Source organism: Homo sapiens, chromosome 3, assembly GCF_000001405.40.
Source record: "Homo sapiens chromosome 3, GRCh38.p14 Primary Assembly".
Classification (NCBI taxonomy): Eukaryota; Metazoa; Chordata; class Mammalia; order Primates; family Hominidae; genus Homo; species Homo sapiens.
Genome location: NC_000003.12, coordinates 170,317,172 through 170,334,821, shown reverse-complemented (window position 1 = coordinate 170,334,821; position 17,650 = coordinate 170,317,172). Strand labels below are relative to the sequence as shown.

The following is a 17,650-nucleotide window of genomic DNA, read 5'->3' as shown; positions in this document are numbered from 1 at the left end:
ACCTGTAATCCCAACTACTCAGGAGGCTGAGGCAGGAGAATCGCTTGAACCCGGGAGGCAGAGGTTGCAGTGAGCTGAGATTGCGCCACTGAACTCCAGCCTGGGCAGCACAGTAAGACTCTGCCTCAGGAAAACAAACAAACAAACAAAACAGGTTGCAGTAAAAGAGGTGACCAAAACCCACCAAAACCAAAATGGTGACGAGAGTGACCTCTGGTCATCCTCACTGCTACAGTCCCACCAGCACCATGACAATTTACAGATGCCATGGCAATGTCAGGAAGTTACCCTATATGGTATAAAAAGGGGAGGCATGAATAATCCACCCCTTGTTTAGCGTATGGTCAAGAAATAACCATAAAAATGGGCAACCAGCAGCCCTCAGGGCTGCTCTATGGAATAGCCATTCCTTTATTCCTTTTTTTTTTTTTTTTGAGATGGAATCTCGCTCTGTCACCCACGGTGACGTACAGTGACACGACCTCAGCCCACTGAAACCTCCGCCTCCTGGGTTCAAGCAATTCTCCTGCCTCAGCCTCCCAAGTAGCTGGGCCTTCAGGCATGTGCCACCATGCGCGGCTAATTTTTGCATTTTTAGCAGAGACAGGGTTTTCTCATGTTGGCCAGGATGCTCTTGAACTCCTGACCTCAGGTGATCCTCCCGCCTCAGCCTCCCAAAGTGCTGAGATTACAGGCGTGAGCCACTGCACCTGGCCAGAATCTTTCTTTTCTTTCTTTTATTGAGATAGATTCTCACTCTGTCACTCAGGCTGGAGTGCAGTGGTGCAATCACAGCTCACTCCAGCCTTCACTTCCCTAACTCAAGTGATCCTTGAACTTCAGCCTCCAGAGAAGCTGTGACTACAGGTGTGTGCCACCACACCCAGCTAGTTTTTATAATTTTGTGTAGAGATGAGTCTCACTATGTTGCCCAGGGTGGTCTCAAAATCCTGGGCTCAAGTGATCCCCCTACCTCAGCCTCCCAAAGTGCTGGGACTACAGTCATGAATCACCATGCCCAGCCATCTCAACCTTTCTTAATCTCATGTGCATTTACCACATTATGTCTTATAATGTAATTTATTTATTTTTAGATAATTTATTTTTTCTCTTGAGACAGGGTTTCACTCTTGTTGCCCAGGCTGGAGTGCAATGGCGTGATCTCAGCTCACGGCAACCTCCGCCTTCCAGGTTCAAGTGATTCTACTGCCTCAGCCTCCTGAGTAGCTGGGATTACAGGCGCCCACCACCATGACCAGCTAATTTTTGTATTTTTAGTAGATACAGGGTTTCACCGTGTTGGCCAGGCTGGTCTCGAACTCCTGACCTCAGGTAAAACCTTCATCTACCATGTACAATCTGGCAGGGCAGAAACTGCATCTTCTTCATATCTGTGTCCTCAAGGTTTGCTGTGGTTCCTTTACATAGTAGTCTCAATAAGTATTCGTTCTTGACAGTGCAGAAGTTGATACATTGAGTTTTTCTGCTAACCCACCAATAAATAATAATCTTACCTGATGAGCAAAATATTGAAACACAGCCTAAATTCTTTTTTTTGTAACAGTTTCCTCTCACCTTCTGATAATTTTTAGCATTTAAAAGAATGCTTTAAAAGAATTTAAAAGAATTATTTGACAAACCTGACAAAAACAAGAAATGGGGAAAGGATTACCTACTTAATAAATGGTGCTGGGAAAACTGGCTAGCCATATGTAGAAAGCTGAAGCTGGATCCCTTCCTTACACCTTATACAAAAATTAATTCGAGATGGATTAAAGACTTAAATGTTAGACCTAAAACCCTAAAAACCCTAGAAGAAAACCTAGGCAATACCATTCAGGACATAGGCATGGGCAAGGACTTCATGACTAAAACACCAAAAGCAATGGCAACAAGAGCCACAATTGACAAATGGGATCTAATTAAACTAAAGAGCTTCTGCACAGCAAAAGAAACTACCATCAGAGTGAACAGGCAACCTACAGAATGGGAGAAAATTTTTGCAATCTACCCATCTGACAAAAGGCTAATATCCAGAATCTAAAAAGAACCTAAACAAATTTACAAGAAAAAAAAAACCATCAAAAAGTGGGCAAAGGATATGAACAGACACTTCTCAAAAGAAGACATTTATGCAGCCAACAGACACATGAAAAATGCTCATCATATCTGGTCATCAGAGAAATGCAAATCAAAACCACAATGAGATACCATCTCACGCCAGTTAAAATGGCGATCATTAAAAAGTCAGGAAACAACAGATCATTAAAAAGTCAGGCGATCATTAAAAAGGAAACAACAGATGCTGGAGAGGATGTGGAGAAATACGAATGCTTTTATACTATTGGTGAGAGTGTAAACTAGTTCAACCATTGTGGAAAACAGTGTGGCGATTCTTCAAGGATCTAGAACCAGACATACCATTTAACCTTGCCATCCCATTACTGGGTATATACCCAAAGGATGATAAATCATGCTACTATAAAGACACATGCACACGTATGTTTATTGTGGCACTATTCACAATAGCAAAGACTTGGAACCAACCCAACTGTCCATCAACGATAGACTGGATTAAGAAAATGTGGCACATATACACCATGGAATACTATGCACCCATAATAAAAGGATGAGTTCATGTCCTTTGCAGGGACATGGATGACGCTGGAAACCATCATTCTCAGCAAACTATCACAAAGACAGAAAACCAAACACCACATGTTCTCACTCATAGGTGGGAATTGAACAATGAGAACACTGGGACATAGGGTGGGGAACATCACACCCCGGGGCCTGTTGTGGGCTGGGGGGCTGGGGGAGGGATAGCATTAGGAGAAATACCTAATGTAAATGAAGAGTTAATGGGTGCAGCAAACCAACATGGCACATGTATACTTACGTAACAAACCTGCACGTTGTGCACATGTACCCTAGGACTTAAAGTATAATAAATAAATAAATAATTTTTTAAAAACTCGGCTTTTTTTTTTTTTGAGACGGAGTCTTGCTCTGTCGCCTGGGCTGCAGTACAATGGCACAGTCTTGGCTCACTGTAACCTCCGTTTCCTGGGTTCAAGCGATTCTCCTGTCTCAGCCTCCTGAGTAGCTGGGATTACAGGCACCCACCACCACACCTGGCTGATTTCTGTATTTTTAGTAGAGACGGGGTTTCACCATGTTGGCCAGGCTGGTCTTGAACTCCTGACCTTAGGTGATCCATCTGCCTTGGCCTCCCAAAGTGTTGGGATTATGGGTGTGAGCCACCAGGCCCGGCCATATTTTTAAATTGAATAAAAAATCAACCAATTACAGACAGAAAAGCAGAAGTAGGTTTTTGCCTCTTTCTAAGGCCCTTACTCCCTGCCTTTACTCTCTTTCAGTGCGCAGGGAAGTCTCCCATGACTGGGCAGTCTAAATATGCCCTTTGTCTGTGTGCAAAAGGGTGCCTGCCCTTTGGACCCTTTCACTGTGGCTGCGGGCTATCAGTCCTGAATGGGGACTTCTAACCCTCCACCTGCACGGGTTTCCTGTGCTGGCTGACACACTTACGTGTACAAAATCTTATCATTAAATCAACACAGTCAGGCTCCTCAAGGGATTGCCTTTTTCCTGATAGAGCACTTCCTACCCATTCATTCTTGCTTTGTCAGTGAGAAGCATAATATTTTTAATTCACTCTGATGAAGTGCTAGAGTTTTGTATTGACTGTTAAGGAGATGAGTATGGCCAAAGTATAGGTTTAGGTCTACTTTAGGGATCATGAATTTGGCCAGAGAATGTAACTTCTTTGGTCTTCAGTGTTTCTCTCTTTCTCTCCCCACCTTCTTTTTTTTTTTTTTTTGAGACAGAGTCTTTCTCTGTCGCCCAGGCTGGAGTGCAGTGGTGTGATATCGGCTCACTGCAACCTCTGCCTCCCAGGTTCAAGCAATTCTCTGCCTTAGCCTCCTGAGTAACTGGGATTACAGGTGCCTGGCACCATGCCTAGTTAATTTTTGTATTTTTAGTAGAGGCAGGGTTTCACCATCTTGGCCAGGCTGGTCTTGAACTCCTGACCTCGTGATCCACCAGCCTTGGCCTCCCAAAGTGCTGGGGTTACAGGGGTGAGCCACTGTGCCCGGCCCACCTTCTTCTTTCATTGAATTTGAAGGCCTTCAGCTAGAGCATACTCTTCAGTTTACCATGGCCCCAGCACGTCCTATCACTGGACCAGGGAAACATTTTCACACTCAGCAAGTACTACTATTCCCAGTGACCAGCTACCCTGGATCTACCTTGGCTCTGCTGACGCCGGTGACTCACATAGGCAAATTTTGTGATGAGTCAGAGGGGGCCTGGGTTCCTCGGTGTCTATGCCAGTTTTCTGACTGTTGTAAAGAGACCCAACCCTGTGGGATAACAGTTTGTGGGACAAGGAAGGCCAGCCACATAAGCCTCTCTTTACTTTGGTATGTATTGCCAAACAGCAAGAAGTCTTTAAAACACAATAAAAAATAAAACCCACAATCACAATACCAGTATCGTACCTTAAACAATTAACTATATATGTATATATTTGTTTGTTTGTTTGGTTTTGTTTGAGACAGTTTTGCTCTGTTGGCAGGCTAGAGTGCAGTGGCGCGATCTTGGCTCACTGCAACCTCTGTCTCCCAGGTTCAAGCGATCTCCTGCCTCAGCCTCCCAAGTAGCTGGGATTTTAGGCACGTGCCACCACACCCAGCTAATTTTTGTATTTTTAGTAGAGACAGAGTTTCACCATGTTGGCCAGGATGGTCTTGATCTCTTGACCTCATGATCCGCCCCCGCTTGGCCTCCTAAAGTGCTGGGATTATAGGCATGAGCCACTGCGCCTGGCCAACAATAACTTTTAATTGTTAAACAATTAACAATAATTCCTTAATATCATAATATCATCAAATATCTAGCCAGTGTTCACATTTCCTGGCTGTCTCATAAATATTTGCTTGTTTCTACAGTTTCTGTGCTTGAATCAAGGTTCACATACTGTGCTTGAGTATGTTTACGTCCCTTAATCTACAGGCACTCCTTTTTTCTTGCACTTTGTGGAAGAAACTATCATTTCGCAGGGTGCTGTGGCTCATGCCTGTAATCCCAGTACTTTGGGAGGCTGAGGTGGGCAGATCACTTAAGGCCAGGAATTCAAGACCAGCCTGGCTAACATTGTGAAACCCGCTCTCTACTAAAAATACAAAAATTGGCCGGTTGTGGTGGTGCACACCTGTAGCTCCAGCTACTCAGGAGGCTGAGGCAGGAGAATCGCTTGAACCTAGGATATGGAGGTTACAGTGAGCCGAAATAGTGCCACTGTGCTCCAGCCTGGGCAACAGACCAAAACTCCGTCTCAAACAAAAAAAAAACTGTATCATTTGTCTTATAGAATTTGTTGTATTCTGAACTTTGATTATCCTTTTGAGTCCCTATAATGTCAATTTATCACGTTTAGGCTCCCTCTCTTTTCCCTTTAGCTGCTAAGAAAAAATTTATGGAGAATGGTAGTAAAATCTAGGGACTTAATCAGATTACATGTGGTTTTTTTTCCAGCAAAAAGATTTTATTGTCAGTTTTGTATACTCTTACATGACATGATACACATAATAGCTACTTATCCCTCTTGTAATATTAAGATTGATCAGTGTGTTCAGATGTTGTCAGCCTGATCCATCTATTATAATGTTCCCCAATCAGTTTTCAGCAAGTGGTTTTAGCAGCCATTAATGATCATTGCTTGGATCCATTATTTCATTAGGGATTGCAGTATCATTTATTTCATCTTCATTTCCTAGCTAGAAATTTTTTAAAAGGAAGAACTTTTGCTTATCATCTATTGGTTACCTTGAAACACAGCTTTTTTCAGGAAAGGAAGGAGGTTTTATTTGTTTTTGCTTACCTGTTTTCAGGATAGTGAACATCCTCCAAACATTGTGTCCAGAATTGGTGGGTTCTTGGTCTCCCTGACTTCAAGAATGAAGCTGCAGACCCTTGCGGTGAGTGTTACAGCTCTTAAAGATGGTGTGTCCGGAGTTTGTTACTTCTGATGTTTGGACGTGTCCACAGTTTCTTCCTTCTGGTGGATTCGTGGTCTCGGTGGCTTCAGGAGTGAAGCTGCAGACCTTTATGGTGAGCATTGCAGCTCTCAAAGGCAGTGTGTCTGGAGTTGTTCTTTCCTTCCATCCGGAGTTGTTCCTCCCTCCCGGTGGGTTCATAGTCTCGTTGGCTTCAGGAGTGAACCTGCAGACCTTCAAGATGAGTGTTACAGCTCATAAAGGTAGCGCAGACCCAAACAGTGAGCAGCAGCAAGAGTTACTGCAAGGAGCAAAAGAACAAAGCTTCGACATTGCAGAAGGGGGACGCCAGCTGGTTGCTGCTGCTAGCTTGGGCAGCCTGCTTTTATTCCCTTATCTGACCCCACCCACATCCTGCTGATTGGTCCATTTTACAGAGAGATGATTGGTCCGTTTTACAGAGAGCTGTTTGGTCCATTTTGACAGGGTGCTGATTGGTGCATTTACAATCCCTGAGCTAGACACAGAGTGCTGATTGGTGCATTTACAATCCTCTAGCTAGACATAAAAGTTCTCCAAGTCCCCACTAGATTTAGACACAGAGCACTGATTGGTGCGTTTACAAACCTTGAGCTAGACACAGGGTGCTGATTTGTGCGTTTACAAACGTTGAGCTAGACACAGAGTGCTGATTGGTGTATTTACAAACCTTGAGCTAAACACAAAGTGCTGATTGGTGCATTTAAAATCCTCCAGCTAGACATAAAAGTTCTCCAAGTCCTCATCAGATTAGCTAGATACAGAGTGCTGATTGGTGCATCCATGAAACCCAAGCTAGACACAGAGTGCTGACTGGTGCATATGCAATCCTACAGCTAGACATAAAAGTTCTCCAAGTCCCCACTAGACTGAGGAGCCCAGCTGGCTTCACCTAGTGGATCCTACGGGCCAGGGCTGTTGGCGGAGCTGCTCACCAGTCCCACGCTGGGCGCCCGCACCCCTCAGCCCTTGGGCAGTTGATGGGATCTAGCGCCATGGAGCAGGGGGCAGTGCCCGCCATGGACACTCAGGCTGCACAGGAGCAGGAGCGGGAGGTGGGGGGGCTCGGGCATGGCAGGCTGTAGGTCCCGAGCCCTGTCCCACGGGGAGGCAGCTGAGACCCGGCAAGAACTCAAGTGTGGTGCCGGCGGGCCAGCAGTGCTGGAGGATCCAGCGCACCCTCCACAGCTGCTGGCCTGGGTTCTAAGCCACTCACTGCCCGGGACCGCTCTGAGTGCAGGGCCCACTGAGCCTGTGCCCAGCCAGAATTCACTGGCCCGCGAGCGCCACGTGCAGCCCCAGTTCCCGTGGGCGCCTCTCTCTCCACACCTCCCAGCAAGCAGAGGGAGCCAGCTCTGGCCTCGGCCAGCCCAGAGAGGGGCTCCCACAGTGCAGAGGCAGGCTGAAGGGCTCCTCAGGCGTGGCCAGAGCAGACACCAAGGCCGAGGAGACACCAAGAGCGAGCCAGGGCTGCTAGCACGTTGTCACCTCTCAATATGACAAGTGAGTTTTTGGGTTTTGGTTTTCTGTGTCCTTATGAGCATATTTTATGTGTCTTAATCCATTAAAGTTTGTTTTTGACTCAGATTTCTCACTTTTGCCACAGAGTCCTTTGGTTGTTAGAGATGAATGACCCACAACCACATAAGTGTTCACTTTCCCATATAGCTAAGAGCTACTTTCCAGAACTTAAAAAAGGAGTGGTCATGAGTTTCTTAAATCTGGTATCTGTAGACCAGAATTAGCATTACTAGAGTTTACAAGGACATTTCTTTCCACTGTGAAGTCTGACTGTATACAGATAGTTGGAATCATCTCAGGCTAGGGTATGTCATGTTTCCAGTACCTGATAAGCCCTCCCCAAAAAAATAATATCTGTACATTTCTGAACCCTCATAAAAAAGGAAGTAAATGTCTAAAATAAGCATAAACCCACAAGGATGAAAAATGCAAGCAAAGAGGACAAACAGAGACTGATGGTGAAGGGAAGCCGCAGAATCACAACCATGTACTGGTCCAGATTAACGCAGGAGGATGAGAAGTGACAGAAAATGACACATTTCCTAATGTTTGAACATGTTGAGAGAGATTTATCATTTAGTGAGACGTTTTGATGGTGAATTGGTAAATAGGTAAATAGAAAACCAAGCAAAATTTTTGTTTTAAGGTACTTATTAACTGTAGGAAAACCCAAAAAGTTGGCCAGGCATGGTGGCTCATGTCTGTAATTCTAGCACGTTAGGAAGTCGAGGTGGGCGAATTGCCTGAGGTCGGGAATTCAAGACCAGCCTGGCTAACATGGAGAAACCCCGTCTCTATTAAAAATATAAAAAATGTGCTGGGTGCGGTGGTGCACGCCTGTAATCCCAGCTACCCTGAAGGCTGAGGCAGGAGAATCACTTGAACCCGGGAGCCGGAGGTTGCGCTGAGCTGAGATCACGCCACTGCACTCCAGCCTGGGCTACAGAGCAAGACTTCATCCCAAAAAAAAAAAAAGAAAAGAAAAAAAAGAAAAACCGAAAAGTTACTCAAGAAGGAAAAAGGAAAAATCATAATACATTACCTGGTTCTGCTATGGAAAGCATTGACATAATCATAGCAATGTAAATACCTTATCATTAACCAAAAATGGTGTATAACTATGCTGAGGGCAGAGAGGAGAGGTAAAGTATATGTGTGTGTGTGTGTGTGTATACATGTAAAAAGTGTTGAATTTTTGTCTCCCATAAGTGTCCTTAAATTGTAAAACACAGAAACTTCAGAAATAGCAGGGCTGGGCACGGTGGCTCATGCCTGTAATCTCAGAACTTTGGGAGGCCCAGGTGGGTGGATCACCTGAGGTCAGGAGTTCAAGACCAGCCTGGCCAACATGCCGAAACCCCATCTCTACTAAAAATACTAAATACTAAAAAATAATAAAAATTAGCTGGGCGGGAATGGTGGTGGTCCCCTGTAATCCCAGCTGCTCAGCAGGATGAGGCAGGAGAATGGCTTGAACCAGGGAAGCGGAGGTTGCAGTGAGCTGAGACTACACCACTGCACTCCAGCCTGAGCAACAAGAGTGAGACTCTGTCTCAAAAAAGAAAAAGAAGATATTTTAAATTTTAAAAATCACACTTTTATGTGTCTCTAATTCAAATAATTCTGCTGCCAGGAAATTAATCGGTCATGATTTGGGGGTTCTCTCTCTCCCTAAGGCCATGCAAGAGTCCCAGATGTTCTCATGCATTCTTGAATATACAGGGCAGACCCTCTGGTCCCCAGTGCACATAGGTTCCCACACCTTGCCCAAGCCTGTAATCTCTTCAGTTCTTGGGCCAGACTTGCGGGGAGGAGTCTTTCACTGCTGCCCTCAAATCTTAGCATCCCCTAAAACCTCTCATCAGAAGGTTCTTGTTGCCTCTTGGGGCCCTACATGGAGTGGGACTTGCATTTCTCTGCTCATAGAACCTGAAAACATAGACACAGCTGCCTTTTCAGGTTGCAGTTACTGCTTTCCCAGCACTTTCTTCTCTCCACCCCCATACCTCTCCTCCACATCTGAGAAAATCAGGAAAATAGCTTCACTTAAAGAACCTTTGGAAACCCAGAGCTCGCCCCTCTTTACTGTAGGGGGCGTGGTGAGAGAAGGTGGCAAGGAGCAACTGGGGCCTGCCCTAGTCCTCTCCCACAATCTTTCATTCAAACAAGAGACGTCTAACCAATTTTATGTCATGTTCTACTTTAAAAAAGCTTCCCTGCTAGAAACCATTACTTCTTACTTGGCCCCTCATCCACTTGCCCATCCCCAAAACAAAATTCTGTAGCTGTAGCCAGATGGAGCCTACAGGCAGCCTTTTTTTTTTTTTTAAATTTGTACTATTTTACTTTGGTTGTACTTGTGTAATCTATGTATTGTTGCAATTTTTATTTTAATTTTGATTCTCTCCAATTACCCAGTTTCCCTCCTCGGCAAAGGAGTGTGACAGGTGGGTCTTTTGCCTCATCAAGAGCCAGTTCTAAAGTAGCAGCTCCAAAGAGGCATGTGCACATCTCAGGGGTACACAGGATGATCAACGGGGTGTGGGAAGAAGATATTAGGACTTCTATTCTCTTTTTTTTTTAGCTGGGTTCTCACTCTGTTGCCCAGTCTGGAGTGCAGTGGCCCATTCATTCCTCACTGCAGCCTCCAGCTCCTGGGCTCAAGCTATCCTCCCTCTTCACCCTCCTGAGTAGCTGGGATTACAGGTATGCGCCACCATCCCCAGCTTCATTCTTTTTGCTTTCTATTTTTGCATGCTTTCTCAAATGTATATATAGTATTTTTATAAACAAAAATTTGGCATATTTGGGAATGCATTCTAAAACTTTTTTTAAACTGATGAAGTATGTGATCCAATATATTTGAGACTTATGTTCTAGGGTAATGCTGTCCAATAGAAACATAATGTGAGCCACAAATGTGAGCTTCATGTGTAACTTTAAGTCTTCCATAGCCACAATTTTTTAAAAAAGTGAAATTAATTTTAATATTATATTTAATCCAGTATGTCCAAAATATTCTCATTTCAACAAGTAACCAACATCAAAATTATAAATGAAATATTTTTCATTTTTTCAACTAAGTCTTCAAAATATAGCATGTAGTTTACAGTGGCACCACATCTCAATTTGGACTGGCTACATTGCAAGTGCTCAATAGTAGTACATGTGGCTCATGGCCACCATGGTGGACAACACAGCTCCCAGGTATTAGGTCCTGGATATTAGCGGATATATGAGACAAGTGCTGCCTCTAGAACTGCTTCTGATGACAGACTTCTTGGGGTTGAGACATAACTGAACCTGCCTCATCTCCGCAGTACACCCAAGGCGGTAAGAAGTGAATTACAACTCATTAAACATCTACTTTTCAGTTAAGCACTTTTACGTCCATTTCATTTAATTTTCTAGCACCTACTTTGAGGTAGAGCTTATTAAACTATATCAAACATGAAGAAATGGAGTCATAGAACTAGTTAGAATCCCAGTCTTTTTTTTTTTTTTTCCTTTTTTTCAGTCATCTTTCCATCAGGCCAAAGAATCCTTCTCTTCCTCCAGAGCCCCGAACCACAAATTCTTCTGAACAACACTCATTGCCTCTTCTAAAAGCTACTGAGCTCATTTCACTTACTGTTTTGTAATGCTGTTACCTACTGAGGACGCTTTCATAGAGCAAGCGAGCAAAGTCTGTGCAGTCAGACCACAGGGCAGTCACGGTGCCCTCCTCCATCTCCCGAAAGGACAAAAAATGCATATTATACAGGCCACTCATACTCTCCAACCGTGATCTGTCTGATTTCCCAGCATGGAACTCTCCTGGTTGGGGCTGCTTTATGTGAAGTCAATCTGTAGTAGATTAATTAAACACTGTATTGATTTTGTATTCTCTGGGGCACTTCTAAAAGGGTTATATTCTTGAAGCCCCTTCTCTGAGTTAGTAGAACACTTCCCCTTTGCAAATGTGATACTTAGAATTTTATTACAGTCCTCCCACCCACCTCCACCCAGACATCACCCCCTCCCCGTCTTCGCGTGGCATAAAATCAAGTTCTGGCCCTTCCCAAAAGACAGTCATGGCAAGAAAAGAGGGAGGGAGTCCTGCTGGTTTTCAGGTCATGTTGATTTAACACTTCATGATTTATGCATTCTGGCTGTCTTGCTTGTAGATTTTCATTTTTACATCCTGCTAAATACCTTGCAGGGTGTTGTTTCTTTTAATTAGTTAATGTTTGTAAGGCACGTTACAGATGAAAGTGCTGTGTCAGTGCTAAATGTGAACATTGGGGTATCCTCAAGCTGTCCTTTGTCTGCCCAGGGGTTTTCTGTGTAACGCAAATTGTGAGAGAGATCTGCATTTGGAAAAAGGCTTGGCTGTTCTGTTTTAGACTGTAGGTCACTAAAATATACGTATTTGGGAATTAAAAATGGCAGTAAACACAGGACATTTTGCATTAGCACAGTTTTCTGACCCCGATGTAACAGTGCTTTCTCTACTTACTGGAAGTGTGATGATCTGATGCAGAGTGAGAAAAGAACATTCCCTACGAACTGGAATTGTGCGGTTTCTGTGGCAGAACCTTAACCTTCCTGATATGTAACAAATAATACATGGTTGGGTTTATGTTTTGTTTCGTCTGTTCAGTGAGTGGGTGACTGAAACAATTTAGCTGCTTTTCTACTGTGTCTGCGTAGGAAAATGGATTCATTTAAAATTACAGCACGTTAATTAAGTGTTCAGTAATATTTCACTAAGAAAAATGTTAAATACCAGTTTTATTTGTTTTTGCAACATATTCACTAAAACTGAGTTTGTCACATTTCTACGGGTGTAAAGATTCATGTTAGGCATGTTTATTAAGGTGTTTGATTTCATATGGACCATTTTTGGAAACACACAAAAAAATGTTTTCTTGTGGAAGGTTGGCTTTCCATTCTTTATTTTCTAATCATCAGCTTTTAATCTAGGTTGATATTTAAAAATAAGAAATCTGCATAAAGCCAAGCAGAGATAGTTGGAGACTTCTATTTTACATAACAGCAAGGGTTACAAAAAATGTGACTTTTTTGGTACCTTTCATTTCGTATATAAACAAAAAATAAGGTAAATTTGCAGCCTAAAACCCACTTGATAGTTTCTCTCAAATCCACAAAATGGCTGTCACCTGCAACAAATTTACAGTAACATTAATAAATGATATTTTGGCTGATCCAGAGTTTATTCTAAGACTGTAGCAAATTATCCCTTCCTCTTTTCATTGATTTTCAATGTAAGAAAATCCTCACTTTATTCTTAATAATCAACATTCCTAAATGCTCCAGCAGGATCCTCAGTCAATGTAAATTTACATAATTCATCTTCTTCCACTCAACTTGTTTTTCTATAATTAGTGCAGCTGTCACCAGGGAGCCACATTCTTGTGGGCAGGTAGCTATGGGTACAGAAAGCAGGCTTCAGTCAAACATTTCCTTTTAAACCATCCATTTGTTTTTTCTCCTCTTATTTCAAATAAGTCGAGTCCTGTAACGAAGAATTTGTTTCCTACCTAGCATATCCTTTTAAAATTCTATCATTCCATAACTTATAATTCCTTCTGCAGGTCCACTTAGCCAAAAGACATACGTCTTTTTTCTTTTTCTTTTTTTTTTTTTGAGACAGAGTCTTGCTCTGTCACCGAGGTTGGAGTGCGGTGGCACAATCTCGGCTCACTGCAACTTCCGCCTCCCGGGTTTGAGCAATTCTCATGCCTCAGCTTCCCAAATAGCTGGGACTACAGACACACACCACCACGCGTGGCTTTTTTTTTTTTTTTTAAGTACAGACGGGGTTTCTCCATGTTGCCCAGGCTGGTCTTGAACTCCTGAGCTCAGGCAATCCACCTGACTTGGCCTCCCAAAGTGCTAGGATTACAGGTGTGAGCCACCACACCCGGCAAGACATAAGTCTCTAAAGAATTTTTTGGTCAGTCCGACTTTTAGGCTGCATACATATTTCTCTTTATAGCTTTCATATTTTTATCAAAACAGATCTTCATTTCAAAATGTAGTTATAACACTTAAAAACATGGAAAGGCCGTATAAGCACAATGACAAAGCAAGCTTTGGAATGGTATAGGAAATATCTAGCTTTATCTTTTATTTGGAGTCTTTAAACTGCCTTTCTCATTGAACTACCTTTCTCCTTAGCGTTTAATGTAGTCTTTGAAAAGGATGGGGAAAACAAAACAAAACAAAACAAAAAAAACAGTGTTTTCCTGCTCTCACACAGTTAAAACACTCAACACAGAATACTTCCCCTCCGGTCACCAGAATGTGTGGGGATGTCCCCCTGTCGACAACCAAGCAATTCTCCAGTGGATAACAACTGAGTGTCCTACAATTTAACTCACTTCTAACAAACACTGTCTACCTGGTGATAGTGTCAGAGGCAGGTGAACCAGAACAACTCTATCTTAAATAGGAGCTGGGTAAAATAAGGCTGAAACCTACTGGGCTGCATTCCCAGACGGTTAAGGCATTCTAAGTCACAGGATGAGATAGGAGGTCAGCACACAATACAGGTCATAGAGACCTTGCTGATAAAAACAGGTTGCAGTAAAGGAGCCGGCCAAAACCCACCAAAACCAAAATGGTGATGACAGTGACCTCTGGTTGTCCTCATTGTTACACTCCCATCAGCGCCAGAACAGTTTACAAATGCCATGGCAACGTCAGGAAGTTACCCTATATGTTCTAAAAAGTGGAGACATGAATAATCCACCCCTTGTTTAACATATCATCAAAAAATAATTGTAAAAATAAACAAGCAGCAGCCCTCGGGGCTGTGGGGCTGCTCGGTCTATAGAGTAGCCTTTTTTGTTTTTTTGAGACAGAGTCTTGCTCTGTCGCCCAGGCTGGAGGGCAGTGGCGCAATCTCAGCTCACCGCAACCTCCGTCTACCGGGCTCAAGCAATTCTCCTGCCTCAGCTTCCCAAGTAGCTGGGATTACAGGTGTGTGCGACCGTGCCCAGCTAATTTTTGTATTTTTAGCAGAGCCAGGGTTTTATCATGTTGGCCAGGCTGGTCTCGAACTCCTGACCTCGGGTGATCCACCTGCCTCGGCCTCCCAAAGTGCTGGGATTACAGGCGTGAGCCACAGCGCCCAGCCTTAGAGTAGCCATTCTTTTATTCCTTTACTTTCTTAATAAACTTGCTTTCACTTCGCACTAGGGACTCACCCTGAATTCTTGTGCGAGATCCAAGAACTCTCTCGGGGTCTGGATTGGGACCCCATTCTTGTAACATATTTTTCTGTCCTGTAAGATATTTCTGGCGACTACAGAAGGGACTATAGTGCAGAAATCGCGACCCAACGGCTACCTTTGGGTAAGTGTTGGGGTCCTGTAACATCTTTCTCGCGAACCACAAAAGGGACCATACTGTAGAGACTCCCGACCCAAAGGAAAATCATCCGCGCTCACCAGTCGGCTGACTTTGGGTAAGTAGGGTGCATATACCCAGGTAAAGAATGGGATTGGGTGGAACGCGAGGTCAAGAGATTGAGACCATCCTGGCCAACGTGGTGAAACCCCGTCTCTACTAAAAATACAAAAAAGCCAGGTGTGGTGGCGGGCGCCTGTAGTCCCAGCTACTCGGGAGGCCGAGGCAGGAGAATCGCTTGAACCCGGGAGGTGGAGGTTGCAGTGAGCCAAGATCACACCACTGTACTCCAGCCTGGGCAACAGAGCAAGACTCCGTCTCAAAGAAAAAAAAAAAAAATGGGATTGGGTTAGAGGCCCAACTTAGGAGAGTTAGAGTCCCTTCTAAGATTTAAAGGGTTAGAGACCCCTCTAGGTAAAGTCCTTCTCGGCTAAGAACAGGTTCAGCACTATGGGATGTTAACTGCAATTCTCTTTGGATTAATCTGCCTTGCACTGTTTGCTGATGGCTGTGGGTGACAGGGTTAGGCCTGTACAGGATCGTGGGACATGGGAGCTTTTTCCTTCCTGAAAGGGGAAACTTGAGAGCTGGCGGGACTGCTGGGAAAAACCCCTTAACGACAGCAGCCGCAGCCACCTGAACTTTAAAGCGTCGCTGCAATGAGGGGGTCTTTCTCTGGCCTCCCTGATCATTTGGACTTCCCCACCCTGCTGCAGGCAATACTTTCCTTCTCTACTTTTCCTTTCCCTTTCTATCTTTTCTATTACTCAAGGCGACCATCTTGCCCAGAGACCACGTGTTGAAACTCCAAGTCAGAGGTTGGATCAAAGATGACGGGGCCCATCTGGGGGCAAATTTAAGCTTCGCCAGTTTGATATTGGGTGCTAAGCAGTGTGGCTAATGTCTATGTTTTTTGTTTGTTTGTTTGTCTAAGACGGAGTCTCCTGTGTTGCCCAGGCTGAAGTACAGTGGCGTGATCTCGGCTCACTGCAACCTCAGCCTCCCGGGTTCAAGCGATTCTCCTGCCTCTGCCTCCCGAATAGCTGGGACTACAGGTGTGTGCCACCACGCTCAGCTAATTTTTTATATTTTTAGTAGAGATGGCATTTCACCATGTTGGTCAGGATGGTCTCGATCTCTTGACCTCGTGATCCGCCCACCTCGGCCTCCCAAAGTGCTGGGATTACAGTCGTGAGCCACCGCGCCCTGCCATGTCTATGTTTTATCACATGTATTTTGCTCTGGCCAGAACAAAAACAAATAATTTTCCTTTATGATGCGGCTTGGCCCCCAGGACGATGGTGCCACAAGCCTGATCAGTAATGCCGCTTAGGGAAAGGGAACCCAGAAGCCTGGCATGCTGGCAAAAGGGTAAGAATTTCCTACCAGTCAGATTTCTGGCTTCTCTCTCTGTGAAAATGGTTCAATAAATGGAAAAATAAATAAATAAACAAATAAATCAGTGTTGATCTCCTCTGTAAAGTTTTAATTAATGTGAAAAAATTCTAAGGCTAATCTTAAACTGGTGTATTTCGTGCTGTAAATTTGTTTTTCTGTGTTGAGGGGTACTTTAGAGTAAAACATGGGCTTAGAACACCTGTAAGCCTGCTTTTCAAAACGACCCAGCAAGCTGGTCAGTAAGAAACTTGGCTGTAGGTCCCTGAAACAAACAAAAAAAACTGGATGAAGTCTCCACTTTGTTTTATGTTCTTGGGAGCGTGACCTTTTAACCATGTGGTGGTACTTTCTCTTGGTCTCTGCCTTCCAGGGAACAGGAATTTTAGGGTTCATGTCATAGTTAGCTCTAAAAATCATATTAGATAGTTAGAAGCCTCTGCAAGCTCAAAATTAACTACTCTAGGCTCCTTCTGAGAAAACACACACACAGAATGCTGCCCACTGTAGCTCAGTAACTAGGATCTTGCACTTTCACAGTTAGTGGTCCAGGTTCGTTTCCCCACCTAGGAAATAAGTCATTTCTGGTGTAATATCTGAGTGACCTTGTCTATTCTCTTCTCCGTGGACTGTCCTAAATTTTCCTTTCTCTAAGCGCCTAGAAGGTTACCTTTGGTAACGTTCAAAAGCTGGAAATTTTGGCCGCTTGGCATGGCTACAGTCGGGTAACAAGAGATCTGAAAAAATGTCTTTTTTTTTTTTAAAGAGCACTATGGTTGAAAGTCAGCTTAATTAAAAGTGGATAAACAAGCTCTAGATATATTTAAAAGGCCTTTATGTTTTTCTCTTCTTGGAACTTGCTTTTCTGGAAAAGTTTTTTTTTTTCTTCTCAGTCGACTGAATTATTTTTCTCCATTTTTTGTTTGTTTGTTTGTTTTGCCACTCTCAATGCATACATGAGGGGCCCTAAGGTAACTTCTGGTAGCCTGGGACTCCTTGGGAAAAACGGAGGAGGCGCCACAGACTCCATTTTGGGGAAAAAAAAAAACCTCTGTTTTCTTCATGAAACCCCAGGAATTAAAAGCAGACAGATCCCTCTAAAAAATCAAAGGCTCTGTTCTGTTTTGCATTGTGTTATCTAATGGTTTTGAGTTTTGGGGGTATCAGAAATTACTTCCCATTATGAAAAAGCTTTGGTGTTTTATAATACAATAACTAGGTAGGAAATACACTTTAAGGGATGGCTAATAATAGCTATC

At 43.7% G+C, this 17,650-nt stretch overlaps 1 annotated feature.

Moving 5' to 3' along the window:
- Positions 4,167-4,461: an enhancer, noted in NCBI's record as "tiled region #5121; K562 Activating DNase matched - State 8:EnhW". NCBI's record gives its function as "activates a minimal TATA promoter and a strong SV40 promoter by Sharpr-MPRA in K562 cells {active_cell/tissue: K562}" and the evidence as "EXISTENCE:reporter gene assay evidence [ECO:0000049][PMID:27701403]".